The sequence below is a fragment of the Homo sapiens genome, chromosome 4 (assembly GCF_000001405.40).
Source record: "Homo sapiens chromosome 4, GRCh38.p14 Primary Assembly".
Lineage (NCBI taxonomy): Eukaryota > Metazoa > Chordata > Mammalia > Primates > Hominidae > Homo > Homo sapiens.
In genome coordinates, this window is record NC_000004.12 from 97,973,493 (window position 1) to 97,989,230 (window position 15,738).

General features: G+C 36.6%; 1 protein-coding gene across 7 annotated transcripts in view; it reads right to left on the reverse strand.

Annotated features, from left to right (window-relative positions):
• Positions 1–15,738, reverse strand: part of STPG2 (sperm tail PG-rich repeat containing 2) — a 702,228-nt gene that overhangs the window by 532,244 nt on the left and 154,246 nt on the right. For 4 of the 7 annotated variants that reach the window (XM_047450118.1, NM_174952.3, XM_047450119.1 and 1 more), the window contains one exon: positions 7,667–7,826. In XM_047450118.1, the coding sequence (XP_047306074.1) occupies positions 7,667–7,826 (160 nt within the window). Of the gene's footprint in view, positions 1–7,666; positions 7,827–13,393; positions 13,502–15,738 lie in introns of all 7 variants that reach the window. The other 3 variants (XM_017008049.3, XM_011531886.4, XM_017008051.3) reach the window with 1 other exon arrangement.

Below are 15,738 nucleotides of genomic sequence, written 5' to 3' on the forward strand. Positions count from 1 at the left end.
AAATTCAAGCTGGCTGCAGAAATTTGCATAAGTAATGAGGAGTTGAATGTTAATCCCCAAGACAATGGGAAAAATGTCTCCAGGTATGTCAGAGGTCTTCATGGCAGCCCCTCCCATCACAGGCCTGGAGGCCTAGGAGGAAAAAGTGATTTTGTGGGCCAGACCCAGGCTCCTGGTGCTATGTGCATCGTAACGACTTGGTGCCTTGCATCCCAGCCACTCCAGCCATTGCTGAAAGGAGCCAACGTAGAGCTCAGGCCGTGGTTTCAGAGGGTGCAAGCCCAAGCCTTGGCAGCTACGTATGGAAATTCCTGGATGTTCAGGCAGAAGTTTGCTGCAGGGGTGGGGCCTTTATGGAGAACCTCTGCTAGGGGATTGTAGAAGGAAAATGTGCAGTTAGAGCCACCACACAGAGTCCCTTTTGGGGCACCACCTAGTGGAGCTATGAGAAGAGGGCCACCATATTCCAAACCCCAGAATTGTAGATCCACTGACAGCTTGCACCATGTGCCTGGAAAAGCTACAGACAAAACACCAGCCCATGAAAGCATCCGGGAGGGAGGCTGTATCCTGCAAAGCCTCAGGGATGGAGATGCCCAAGACTGTGGGAACCTACCTCTTGCATCAGCATGACCTGGATGTGAGACACGGAGTCAAAGGAGACTATTTTGGAGCTTTAAGATTTGACTGCCCCACTGGATTTCAGACTTGCATAGGGCCTGTAGCCCCTTTGTTTCAGTCAATTTCTCCCACTTGGAATGGGTGTGTTTACCCAAGGCCTGTACCCCCATTGTATCTAGGAAGTAACTAACTTGCTTTTGATTTTACTGGCTCATAGGTGGAAAGGACTTGCCTTGTCTTAAATGATACTTTGGACTGTGGACTTCTGAACTAATGCTGAATGAGTTAAGACTTTTGGGGACTGTTGGGAAGGCATGATTTGTTTAGAAATGTGAGGACGTGAGATTTGGGAGGGGCCCAGGGTAGAATGATATGGTTTGGCTCTGTCCCCACCCAAATTTCATCTTGAACTGTAGCTCCCACAATTCTTATGTGTCTTGGGAGGAACCTGGTGGGAGGTAATTGAATCACGGGGGTGGGTCTTTCCCGTGTTGTTCTCATGATAGTGAGTAAGTCTCACAAGATCTAATGGTTTTAAAAACTGGAGTTTCCCTGCACAAGCTCCCTCCTCTTGTCTGCTGCCATGTGAGATGTGCCTTTTATCTTCCACCATGATTGTGAGGCATCCCCAGCCATGTGGAACTGTAAGTCCATTAAACCTCTTTCTTTTGTAAATTGCCCAGTCTCGGGAACGTCTTTATCAGCAGCATGAACATGGGCTAATACACTTGCCATATGACCAGAAATTCTATTTCTAGGTATTTTCCCAAAAGAAATGAAAAGAACTCAAGTGTCCATCAGCTGATGAATAAGTAAACAAAATGTGCTACACCCAAACCATGGCATACTACTCAGCAATAAAAAAGAAAGACAAACACAACAATATAAATGTTTCTCTAGAATATCATAAGTAAAAAAAGGCAGACTCAAAAGCTTGAATAATGTATAATTCCATTTATATGTAAATTTAGAAAAGATAAAATCATAGCAGCAGAAACAGTTCCTAGGGCCAGAAGTGGGAATAGAGATTAACTGCAAAGGAACATGAAGAAACTTTTTAGGAATGATTAAAGTGCTCCAAAACATTACTGTAATTCTGATTGCCTGACTACATACATCTACCAAAATTCATCAAATTGTACATTTAAATGAATAATATTTATTATGTATAGGTATACCTCAATAGAGCAGAAATAAATAAATAAATCTCAACACTAAAAAGTTTTCAAATAATACAGCAGCAATAAAATACATTTCACAAAAAAATTAATATATCCTATCATTTGACCTCCCTGTCACAAAAGTTATTTTAATTTTTGTCTTTTATTTTTCTGTGCATATTCATAACCTGGAATATTTTCCACAGTGGTAGTTCTGAGTGAATTTAGGTTCATATATTTTTCATTTAAAATAATACAACTTTCTATGCTGTTCAAAAGTTTTTATCAAGACAGTCAAATACTTAAACATTTGAGTATGTTGTTTAAAAAATCAATTCTAGTGAGCAGCAATATCCATCAGACTCAATATGATATACTTAAAGAACACTTAACTTGGTTGTACTCATGTTATCTGCATTCTACTTAATTAGTCCTGCCACTAAATAGATATGAAACTTCACTTAAATCTCATTTGTTTTTCTGGGCTTCAAGTTCCTTATCTAAAAATAATAGGAATCGATTAGATCAGTGTTTGTCCAAGAACAATCTACAAGATAAGGGGTTTACAACTAAATGTAAATTGACTATTTCACTAAGCATTTTGTAACTAGTCCTTCTGAATGAAGAGAGGGTTGTGCTGATTTATGTTCTGGTAGAATCTCTTTTCTCATCATAGGCAAGAAACAGTTGACAAAAGAGTGTCACTGGGTAGTACTAGGTTAGACGTTACTTTGGTTCACTCCAGATCTAAAAGTGATTAAATCTTTCTGCATAGAAATATCCTTCATACTTCTGACACATATAAGATTTCTCTCTAACTGTAAACAAACTCTTCCCAATTTTTCAAATATTCCAGTTCTAGTCTATTCCCTAAAAATATCTACAAAAATTCTGTTGTGCCAACTCTCAGAAAACCTAAGTGCTAATATATATTATTCCCGCTGCTGTTCAACATTCTTACAGTGGTAATGTTTAGGAAAAAGATAAACACAAAGTATAATGAAAACTATTTGAGCCACCACTTAAGATATATAAATAACAAGTAACTATGTCAAATCTATCTCCCTTCTGGCTCAAGAGCATAACATAGCACTTTGCAGGTGAGCTTAAGTACTTAATATATCATCCTCAGGGCTAGGGACCTCAGACATACACATCTCAGGTACTACCTTAATCTGACTTGCAAAGCCATTCTGATCATATGGTTCACTCACATTAGAACTTTCTTATATTTATCTTAGAGTCATTAAGTATAGAAATGCCCAGGAACCCCAGATCAGATCTGCTATGGGAGAGTTAAAAGGTTTAGGGGTGCCTTATAGTAGTAACTTGCAAACATTTTGGAGCTCCACAGTAGGTGGTCAAATCTGCTCTATGACTGCTTTACAAGTCCAATTCTTTACTCTAATCTAATAATTACATGAAAAGAAATCAAATTTCCATGATGGCCATTCTTACTAATCCTTAAAATATGTAAGATTCTAGATTACGTTTTAGAGGTCATTCTTAATTTAACTTGCCCTTTATAAATAAACTAACTTTGAAGGATGTATAATATTTTATTTGTAATATACTAGACCATCAGACTGACGGTAAGACCCAATCTTAGAGTAACTGGGCCACTCAATAAGTTAATACTTAGAAATAATTTGGATTTCAGATTCATGATATATAAATAAGCAACTCAAAATCAAAGCTGTTGGAACTTTAAATTATTTTGAGCCTTAAAGGATTGTGCTTATGCAACCTGAATCACATGACAGGCAGCTGTAACTTTTGTTCCTCTGATTATAGATTGACCTTTTCTTTATCCACGTTGTTTTCTAAAATACTGTAAAAGACTAAAAAGTGCCAGAGAAGACCCCTTGCCTCTCCACTATTGATCTTCATTATAGCTTAACTTCCCTTTTACTTCTCTGACACAAAGATCGCATGACTATCACATTGTCTAAGATGGAATATTAAATGCACTCTTTTAAATTGGAAAAGGAAAACAGCTATAGCTAAACTGCTATAACTAATCAAATTGCTATAACTCATAAACCAGCTTTTTAAAAAAATGTTATAATCCTATTAAATTTCTTTATTTTCTGACTATAAGAGCAAGACCTTTTCACCTTTGGAGCACTGACCCCATTCCTTTGGAGTCTGTGTTACTTGAATAGCTATTCTAGCCTTTGCACCTGAATAAACTCTCTTAAACTGGATTCTGACCCTTTTGATTATTTCAAGTTTACAATAATAAATACTACTGAGCTAGCCTCAAATGGCATTCTTAAAGTAGTCATACTTCAACATAGGGGCTCAGGGCTCCAAGACCAACTGTTTCAAGAGGCCCAGATCAATCTGTAAAGCAAATGGTTTTATCTGAGAAGTGCTAGAATATCACTTCCACTCCATGCATTGGTCAAGAAAGCACCAGGGCTAGTCAAGACTGAAGGGGAGAAGAGTGAGACTCAATCTCTCCATGGAATGAGTAGCAAACAATTATACGAAGTGTATTACTATAACCAAACTCTAAAATCTGTGGCAGCGACTTTGGAATCAGACAATCGGTCAGAAACTAGAGCGACCTGATGAGTTAGAATAAAGGCCTTGAGGAGACTGCTGGTGATGACTTGAAAGACAGCGGGGAAAACGTTATTAGAGCATGGAGAAATGATAACTGGTATTATGCAATGGCAGAAATTTTAGCAACACTAATACTTGAGGTAATGAAGAAAATACCTAATGAACTGCTAGATTCTAACTAAGGAAATTTCCAGGCTGAATTTCAAAGTGCCAATAGTTCCTTTCATCCATGTGTGAGAAGGTATAGATAGATAGAAGGAAAAGAGTTTATAAAGTGTTCAGTTTTCTGGAACTACCATTTGACCCAGCAATTCCATTACTGGGTATATACCCAAAGGAATATAAACTGTTCTATTACAAAGACACAAGCATGTGTATGTTCATTGAGACACTATTCACAACAGCAAAGACATGGAATCAGCCTAAATGCCTATCAATGGTAGACTGGATAAAGAACATATACACCATGAAATACTATGCAGCAATAAAAAAGAATGAGATCAAGTCCTTTGCAGAAACATGGATGGAGCTACAGGCCATTATCCTTAGCAAACTAACACAGAAACATAAAACCAAATACCACATGTTTGCACTTATAAGTGGGAGCAAAATAATGAGAACAAATGGACACATAGAGAGGAACCACAGACAATGGGGCCTACCAGTGGTGGAGGGTGGGAGGAGGGAGAGAGTCAGGAAAAATAACTAATGGGTACTAGGATTAATATCTGGTGATGAAACAGCCTGTACAAGAAACCCCCACGACACAAATTTACCTATATGACAATCCCACACATGTGCCCCTGAACTTAAAATAAAAGTTAAAAATAAATAAAAAGTAATACAGTGTATAACTTTTCAAGGAGAATGTATAGGAAATAAAAAGGAACTAGAATTTCCTAGATTTGAAAATAAACTGTTTTTCATCCCCAGTCTATCCAGATAACAAAAATCTCTCAAAGTAAGAAGGGGCTTAAAGGAAAAGATGTAAAGCAGGATTTGGCTGTAAGACCTTTAGAAATATTTATGGTAATCCCTCATAGAACTTCTCAAAAAGGGGCCTTAAGAATCTTAAGGTCTTTATCCTGGGCCTTTTCACTTAGACAATGGTGCCCTAACAACTTAAGGGTGTTAAAAACATAATAGCCTCAAAGGTGATACAAAATAGACAAAGGTGACACAAAACATGTAACAGCCTCACAGGTGATTTAAAACAGTTTTTCTAAGAAAATGTAACTGTGGCTTTTGTCTAGTGGATTTGATTATAAATTAAAACAATAAGAAACTCAAAGGTTTTATAAGAATCGTATCATCTTGGGATAAAAGGGACAATGAGAGTAAAAAGGAAAAGAAGCTGATAGAAGCAGGCTGAGAAAGCTACAGCGGCAAACACAGCCTATTTCATAGAGAAAAAAGGATGACTCAGCAGAACCAAGAGCCTAAAAGGCAGAACAAACAACCACAGAAAATCATTCCCCCCAGAGAGCCTTACTGGATCCTCATCAAGGAAATGCTAACATGTGCCCAGCTGATTTTCAGAATTGCTATGGTACTGTGACTGTTGTGGGCCTCCAGTTTTCCCTCTTCCTGAACAGGAGTGTCTGATCTGATTATCCTATATCTCTCCCACCACTGTATGATGGATGAAACAATCCTCTCTTTGGTTCACAGCTCTGCTTATAGAGAAGGAGCTGTATCTTAAGAACCACAAATAAGAATCCTCATCTGCACTTATACCTGACTTAGATGACAAGACCCGGGGCTGGGAGTTGTGGCTTACGCTTGTAATCCCAATACTTTGAGAGCCGAGGTGGAAAGATCATTTAAGGTTAGGAGTTAAAGACCAGCCTGGGCAACGAAATGAGGCCTCATTTCCACAATTTCTTTTTTTTTTTTTTTGAGACGGAGTCTTGCTCTGTTGCCAGGCTGGAGTGCAGTGGCACTATCTCGGCTCACTGCAACCTCCGCCTCCCAGGTTCAAGCAATTCCCCTGCCTCAGCCTCCCCAATAGCTGGGACTACAGATGCGCACCACCACACCCGACTAATTTTTTGTATTTTAGTATAGATGGAGTTTCACCATGTTGGCCAGGATGGTCTCGATCCCCTGACCTCATGATCCACCCGCCTCAGCCTCCCCAAGTTATGGGATTAAAGGTGTGAGCCACCGTGCCAGGCGAAAATTTTTTTAAAATAGCCAGGCATTGTAGCACACACCTGTAGTCCCAGCTACTCAGAAGGCTGAAGCAGGAGGATCCTTTGAGCCAGGAGTTGGAGGCTGCAGTGAACTATGATCATGCCACTGAACTCCAGCCTGGATGACAGAGAGAGAGAGATCATGCCTCAAAAATTTTTTTAAAAAATGATCCTGGAGTTTGAAATTATGACATAATTACATGAAACTTTTGGGTCCTTGAGAAGGAGTAGGTGCATGTAGGAACAATGTAAATATTTTTGTAGCCAGGGAATTGATCATACAGTAGATTAAAGTTGGCCATCAATTCTTTGCTACTCTTCTCACTGAGAGATAAAGTTTCATGTCCTTTCAATCAATATGTGCTACTCTGAGTGACTTAATTAACTAATAGAATGCAGAAGACATGATATCCTGGGAGTTCTGTGGCTGGGTCATAAAAAATCTTGCAGCATCTGGTCAGGTCTCATGGAACCCTGGGCCACCATGTTAAATGTTAGGCTGCCCTCAGGCAGCCATGCTGGAGCTAAGTACATCCTTTGAATAACAGACCCATCTGAGCCTTGCCTTCTAGCCATCCCACAAAATAATGATATATAATAGAAAAGCCTGTTGTTTTAAGCGACTAAGATTGTTGAACAGCAATAGATGCCCAGAACTGTATGTCAGCAATTTTATAATTTATTTTGGTTCTATATTCTTAGCTCTGAACACTAAAATATCCACTGAGAATACCAGAATACATGATTGAAAACCTCTGAAATAAAAAAGTTTAACAAAACTGAACATCATAAATTATATTACTAATGGTGACCACATAGTTGATATATTATGTTGTTCATCTGCCAAGAAAAAAATCAGAAAATTTACCAAATAAAGAAAAACAACAGAAAATTATAATTAGGATGTGCAGAATGTTAAACTGAAATCTTACTAAAACTGTATATTATTTTGATTTATCTGTGTTTAATGTATAGTGAATGCTTTAAAAAATGTTGACTTAAAATGACACCAACCATAGGACAAAAAAGAAAACATACTCTCTGGTGTATCCATCTTGTTAAGAACATTAAGTTTCTTTATAAAGCCAAAGAGTAGACATATATAGATAAATTGCTAACCTGGCATTTCCTCTGTCCTGATGTCCTGTGTGAATCGAACAGCACTTTGACCAAATGGAATATTTTTCAGTCCTGATGTTTTCTTCAAAGACTTGAGAGCAGTTCGAGGTTCATTATATGTGCCAGGAGCCGGGGTGATTGATTTCATAGGTAAAAATCTCTAGTGAAGAACAGGAAAATATGCCAATAAGAAAGTATAGTACATTTTGATACTTCATGAGTTAAAACCTGCCTTTTGAGTAATATAACATCTGGAGTTAATTTATTTCTTAATGGAGTGAAGAAAATGTAGATGAACTAAGATCTTGTACCCATCAAAACATAAAATATATAGCTTTTAGTAAAATCACCTGTATACTAATATAGTAATGTATTATGTGCCTTACTAAGGCAGACAGACTTTTAGAAGAAAATAATCTCAACATGAGACTCTAGATGATAGTGTAGGGATAATGATCATACTTAAAATATTCTGCCAGTTAATATAAATAAAAAACTATATGATCTAACACGTTATTTTATGTGATCAAATTATATTTATTGAAAAAGTTCCTCAACATGTATATTCAATTAACTCAACAGTATCATTAGATATCTCAAAAAAAATCTTAGATTCAGTGGTTTATCAATTCAGTTTAACTTTTAAACTTATTAACATTATATATATAAAATGTTTATATATATATATATATATATAACTATAAATTCATGAGATATAGCACTGTATAATCTTTTTTTTTTTTTGAGACGGAGTCTCGCTCTGTTGCCCAGGCTGGAGTGCAGTGGCGCGATCTCGGCTCACTGCAAGCTCCACCTCCCGGGTTCACACCATTTTCCCGCCTCAGTCTCCCACGCAGCTGGGACCACAGGCACCCGCCACCATGCCCAGCTATTTTTTTGTATTTTTAGTAGAAACGGGGTTTCACCGTGTTAGCCAGGATGGTCTCAATTTCCTGACCTTGTGATTTGCCCGTCTCAGCCTCCCAAAGTGCTGGGATTACAGATGTGAGCTAGCATTGTATAATCTTTTTAACTTTTCATTTGAAAAGAATTTCAAATTTACAGAGAAGATGCATGAATAAAAATAATACAGAAAATATGTGTATAACCTTTACCCAGATTCCTCTATTATCATGTTACCTCATTTGCCTTTTTTTCTTTGCCAACTCTATCTCTGTTTTGTCTGTTTGTCTTTCTCTTCCTCTGTCTCTCTTACTCTACACACACACACACACACACACACACACACACACAGATTTTGAAAGTTGCATATTTCATGGCTCTTTACCCACAAATACTTCAGTATGTATTTACAAAAAAAATGCAGATATTTTCTTACATATCCACAGTACAGTTATCAACTTCAGTAAATGTATCAATGATCTAATGCTTTCATGTAATCTAGGATTCGTATTCCAAATTCGTCGGCTGATCTAATAAGGCCTCTACTGCATTTTTCCCCTTCAGTACATAATCTAGTTTAGAGTCACATATTGCTTTAGTCATCATGTCTCTTTTATGTCCTTTAATGTAGGAACATTTCTACAGCCTTCCTTTGTGTTTTGTGATTTTAACATTTTGGGAGAATCACCCTTTTGTATAATAGAACCTTACTTACTTGAGGCTTACCTGATATTTCCTCATAATTATATCCAGGTTATACATTTCTGGACATACTACTAGGTGGGTGATGTGTGGCTTTCCCAGGATATCATATCTGGAGATGTGATGTCTGCTGGTCTTCACTGGTAATTTTAATTTTGATCAAATTCAACACTGCCTCTATATTTATAATAAGTACTTAGCATTCTACTGTAAGCAAGTGCTCTCCCTTCTCCTTCAATTATTTATTTCATTAGCTATCTACTTACCTATCTATAGTCGACCCTTGAACAACACGGGTTTGAACAATGTGGTTCCACTTATACACAAATTTTCTTCAGTCTCTGCCACCCTTGAGATAGAAAGACCAACCCTTCCTCTTCTTCCTCCTCCTAGTCTATTGAATGTAATGACAAGAGCTTTATAGTAATTTACTTCCATTTAATAAATAGTAAATATATTTTCTCTTCCTTGTGATTTTTTAATAACATTTCCTTTTTTCTAGCTTACTTTATTGTAAGTATACAGTACATAACACATATAACATACAAAATATGTGTTATTTGACTATGTTATTGGTAAGGCTTCCAGTTAACAATAGCCAATTTGTAGCTAAGTTTGGGAGGAGTCAAAAGCCACATGCAGATTTTCAAATGCTTGGAGGGTTGGCATCCCTAATCTCTACATTGTTCAGAGGTCAACTGTACTTAGTTATCTATTTATTATCCACATTGACTCATGAATGCCAATGTTAACGATTTATAATTCATTACTGAGCAGGTGGGGGGCCCTTCATATTGTTTCCTATGTCCCTGTGATATGCTCTCATCATTATCTCGTTTAGAACTTACTTTCTGAAATAAAATGTTACACTGTCCTCTTCCACCTACCCTGGAATCAGTTATTTCTCTGAGGAATCCTTTTTCTTTCAGTAGGAATAGAATTAGAGACCAAGATCTGGGCACTTGATGTGTCCCTTGCTACTGGGGTATCTTTGCTTCTTAGTTCATTTAGCAGACAGAGCTAGGACATACACACATTCACAGAGAATGAGAGGGAGAAACACACACATACATATATACACTCATACATAGACATGTGAACATATATACATTTACATGTGCACATATATATGCATATATTCATACATATAAATATATATTAAAAATCATGAGTTCACATAAAAGCCTTCAATTCAAATCCATCCCACAAGGTCCTCTTTCACCTCCTCCAATCCATATTTGTATGCACCTTCCTTAACAATGAAAACCATACCTCAGATTATCAACTTTTTTGCTCAAACTTGTGATATTCTAAGATAGTTTTATAATTGCTTTACCCATACCATCCCAATAAACCAACCTACTAAAAATAATTAAGAATTTGTTTCCAATTCTTCTTTTTTTCTTTTTTTCTGAGACAGAGTCTCATTCCATCACACAGGCGCAATCTCGACTCACTGGAACCTCCACCTCTTGGGTTCAGAGGATTCTCGTGCCTCAGCCTTCTGAGTAGCTGGAATTACAAGCACATGCCACAATGCCCAGCTAATCTTTGTATTTTTAGTAGAGACTGGATTTTGCCATGTTGGCCAGGCTCGTCTCAAACTGCTGACCTCAAGTAACCCACCCGCCTCAGCCTCCCAAAGTCTTGGGATTACAGGCATGAACCACCGCACCCGCCCTGTTTCCAATTCTTACATTCACTACCCACTCACCCTCCAATTCCAGCCCCCATCGAAGACTGATATAGTCAAATACTATGGTTACCTGGATTATTACTTCTTTTTTTCCCTTCAGTGTAGTTAAGGGCATTCATTTGAAATAAAACTGCTCATTTGTTTCCATTTGTTTTCAGTTTAGTTTTTAACTTTTCCCATTCTTACTGATTTATTTTTATTTTTTAATATATGAAACATTGAAATCTTTCCAAAAGATAAATACGTATTTTTTGAAGTGTAGTCAAAGAAGTGTTACGCCCCCTGTTGGGGATGCTGCGCTACTTGGGACAGAAAAGTCTCAATTTGCAACATTTGCTGATTACCCGCAACAGTGGCTAATTTCACACTACCAACATAATGTCAGCCAGCTTGCAAAACTCCTGGAAACTTAACAATTGGGTCTTGCAAGCCAGTACAAATAAACAGCAGCATACCAGTGCTTGCACTTTACCTCCTCACCATCCCTTGTAGATAACTAACATCATTGTTTTCTGGTTTATCTTCATCGTGTTTATATAGCCAAGTAGTTATGTGTATGTTTTCCTATTTTCCTATCTTTTTTAAACAAAAATATAGTACAACATATATGTTCTTTTGAGTTGTGTAAAGTAGGTAAATATTAACACTACTAAAATAATAATTTATTATTGGAAGTACTAAAAGGACTCTGAAATTTATTATCCTAAATACTATCTTATTATTTTAGATGCTAAGTATAATGTTTATAAAATGATAGTTTTCAACCATGGCTGCTTATTAGAATTACTTGAGGAATTAAAATATATATATTACTGTTTAGGCCCTATTCTGAACCAACTGAATCAATTTCTGGAAGGAAGAGCAAAGGGCATGTTGGCACTTGGGTATCAGAATGTATTTAAATTCCTCAGATGTTTTTAATATGCATCCAGGGGTAAGGGCCATTGCCATAAAGGAAATATTGTGTATTTAAAATTAATAATTGAAGACATAAGGCAATTCAATGCATTTAGATAAAATGCCCGACAACTCCTAAATCAATGACTAAAATAAGCATCTCAGAAATGTATCTGTCTTTATTCCTACAAACCAGAAATTCTGTGTTCTAAGTCTACTTTGTTAATTGTGTTATTTCTTTTTCTATCTTAATCACTTATATGTATCTATTCATATTCAAATAAACATTAACATTACCCCTAGCAGGTTATCCTGTTTAAACTCTTCCATATCTTTTACTGCAGAACCATTATTCTTTTCCCCATCATCCCCTTAAACCAAATTGATATCATATTCTTTTCTATTTCTAAAAATATATTTTAAAATATGATTATTGTCAAGTGATGTAAGGTTAGGGCTATATATCAGATTAACAGAAATAGTATGAAACCTGAGATTTTATTTGTAAAAATCATATTTTTAAAAAATCAAGGGTACACATACACGCACATGCATGCACAGGCACATGCGCAAGCGCACGTGAGCGCACACAAACACACACACACACACACACATACACACACACAGAAAATATCCTGTCTTCCCCACATCCATCTCTTGTAGTACCTTAAGCATCATTAAGTTGCTTGATGCAGAAATCTAGTATTCATTCTTGATTCCTCTCAGTCCCTTATAACATCATCTAGCCCATTAAAAATCATGTTAATTTTATCTCCAAATATACTTGCAATCTATCTACTTGTCTCCAAGGAGGTGTCTCTTAAGTACAATAAAATCAAAGTAGTCGTCTATAGTCACCTGAAGGTTAATATTCTTCCCAAGTTAAATAAGATAATCAGAGCCATACATACCACAGGTGGATAAATATCACAATCACTTTGGTCTGGAGGCTGCCACATAATAAAGGTTTGCTAGTATTATAATTGTCTTGCCTTACAAATATGTTAGATACCTTCAGTTCCTCTTAGTATATTCCTGGGAGTATGTGAAATGGTTACTGCAAAATATACTCTATGACTGTTGTATCACTAGTGAAGGTCCCAGTGGCAGCTGTAGAAATGACCTATGGCCAGGCTCCACAGAATGCCTTCAGAACCTTTTCAGAAAGAGATGCAAGCCTATATAGCTTACATGTTAACACTCCACACATTCATTGGCAAAGTATATTTTAAAACAGACTAAAGAAGACATTTCTTATAAACTGAACTGAACATTCATATATGCAAATTTGCTTAATAGAAAATGTTTAATAGATGGTTCTATTCAAATATTCATCTGTGTATTTCTAATTTTATTTCACTTCATTTTACCCATATGTTTTGGCAATATATTTTTCCTAGACCATGTCTATTTCCAATTTGCTTAAATATCACTTTTCTTCTTATAACCTTTAAACATCATTGAATGTGTTGCTGGCCTCACACTATGCCTATTAGACTCTATATATGAAAATGGCTGTAGACCATTACCTGGGATTGAGAAAGAAAAGCAGGAGATGCATCATTTGCATTTGGTGTCATACTTTCTATCTTCTGAAATTGACTTTTAATGTCATATTTTCCAGGCCCTGGTACTCCCTAAATCACAAAAAGAAATACATGTTCTCATTAAGAAAGTATCTATAGCACCTAAGGGAAGAGTTGGCTAAATATCTGAACCACAGCCACAGAGTTTTTAAGTGAATTCCTACATAATATTACCAAAGCACTTCATTAAAAGGCAAGCTGGAACAAACTTAAGAGCAGCAAAAAAAATTTCCTTAGCAAAGCAGCCCTTGAACCTGAAAACACACTACCTGAAACTTTGCTGCCCTCTACTGATAAAGCTCAGAAAAAATTATCCAGCTCTTCACATGATTAAATACTAAAATGAAGAAAGAAAAATGAAAAATGACTTCTCTAGTTCTTCCATTTAAAAGTATACAGCTAGCTTGTCTCTAAAAAATTTTGTACTGTCTTTTTAAATGTATGTAAATCAACGTGTTTTTTCCATCAAATAGGCTTTAGGAAATAGTTTAACTACATATGTTAATTGTAAGAAATTAAGCTTTTAACTAGATACTTTATAACAGATAAGAATTAATTCAGTAAGTTCTGAGGTTGAGTTTTTTATATTCTTAGTCATATAAATAAATATTAAGAAGTACTATTTTTTCATCATCAAATATTTTAATTACATTGATAAGTACCTTTTATACTTATCAATTCAAATCGTCTGCTTCATACATACCTAAACTATTTTTCTTTGTCTGAAAGAATTACTCCTTGAGTTACTAATTGAATAATTGGCTTATAAATTAGATGTATAATGAAATTCTATCATTATATCCTGTCATTTCTATCTTTATAATATTTCCAAATCCAACCACTTCTCTCCACCTCCACAACTACCACTCTGATCAAAGCCACTACCATCTCTTACCTGAATTATTTTAAAAGTCCCCTAACTGTCCCCTGCTCCCATCCTTGTCCATCTTCAGTCTACTGACATAGCAGCCAGTGAAGCAGCTGTTCCACAATCCGAGTCAGATTGTATCACTCCGCTTCTCAAACCCACCCAGTGGTTGCCAATCTCAGAACATAAGTCAAATCCTTAATATGGTCTGAATGTCACACACACACACACACACACACACACACACACACACACATATTACCTCTCTAACCTCATCTCCTACTACCATCTCCCCTCATTCACTTTGCTACATATCTTCCTCAAACAGATCAGGCATATATCTGCTTCACGACCTTGGCATTTGGCAGTCTGTCTGCTTCAAATGTTCTCTTCAGATTTCTCCTTCATTATAATCAGGTCACTATACAATGTCACCTTCTCAATGAGTCATTTCCAGGCCACCTAATCTAAAATTTCATTACCACCTCCAAACAATTTATGTCCCCTTCTCTGCTTTTTTTAACCTTATTATTTATTGCTATCCAAAATAAAATTTTCTGCTATATTCTAAGCTCCAGAAAGGTCAAGTCATTTTCTTTTTCTGTTTGGCTCACTGCTATATCTCTAGAGTATAAAACAGTACCTGAAACACAGTAGGGTTCAGTTAATATTTGCAAGAAGAATGGATGGGTACATGAATTGAATCCTACATTTTCACTGACTACATTATGAATTTGATGATGGGTTCCTATTGAAAATAATGTGGCTCCAAATAAGTGCATTAGCCATTTCTAATTCTTATATTTTGTTTTTTGATATGGGCTCTCACTCTGTTACCCAGGCTGGAGTGCAGTGGCCCAATCTCATCTCACTGCAACCTCCGCCTCCCGTGCTCAAGCAGTCCTCCAACCCAGCCTCCTGAGTAGCTGGAACCACAGGCATGCGCCACCAGGCCCGGCTAACTTTTGTATTTTTGGTAGAGATGGGTTTTTGCCATGTTGATCTTGGGTTCCCCAGACTGGTCTTGAACCGAGCTCAAGCGATCTGCCCGCCTTGGCCTCCCAAAGTTCTGGGATTACAGGCGTGAGCCACTGCGCCTGGCCAGCCATTTCTAATTATGATAAAATATGTAAATCCTATGTATTTTTTTAAACTGATAATAATTTGAAAAAAAATTAGGAGAAACTAAAAATTTACGAGAAACTAATACAGAAGTATCTTTTATTTTAAATAGGTTAGATTCTAAAAAGTTATCCAAAAGTGCATGACACCTTGGCTTAAATGAGCAGATTCTTGCCATTATTTGCTGGCTGGTAGAAAAGAGGCACTTCAGCAATGATATGTAAGATTTTTTTTATCTATCAACTTGTAGTAAGTTAAGTTCAGAAGAAAAGAAACTTCTACACAATTCTGTGGCTAT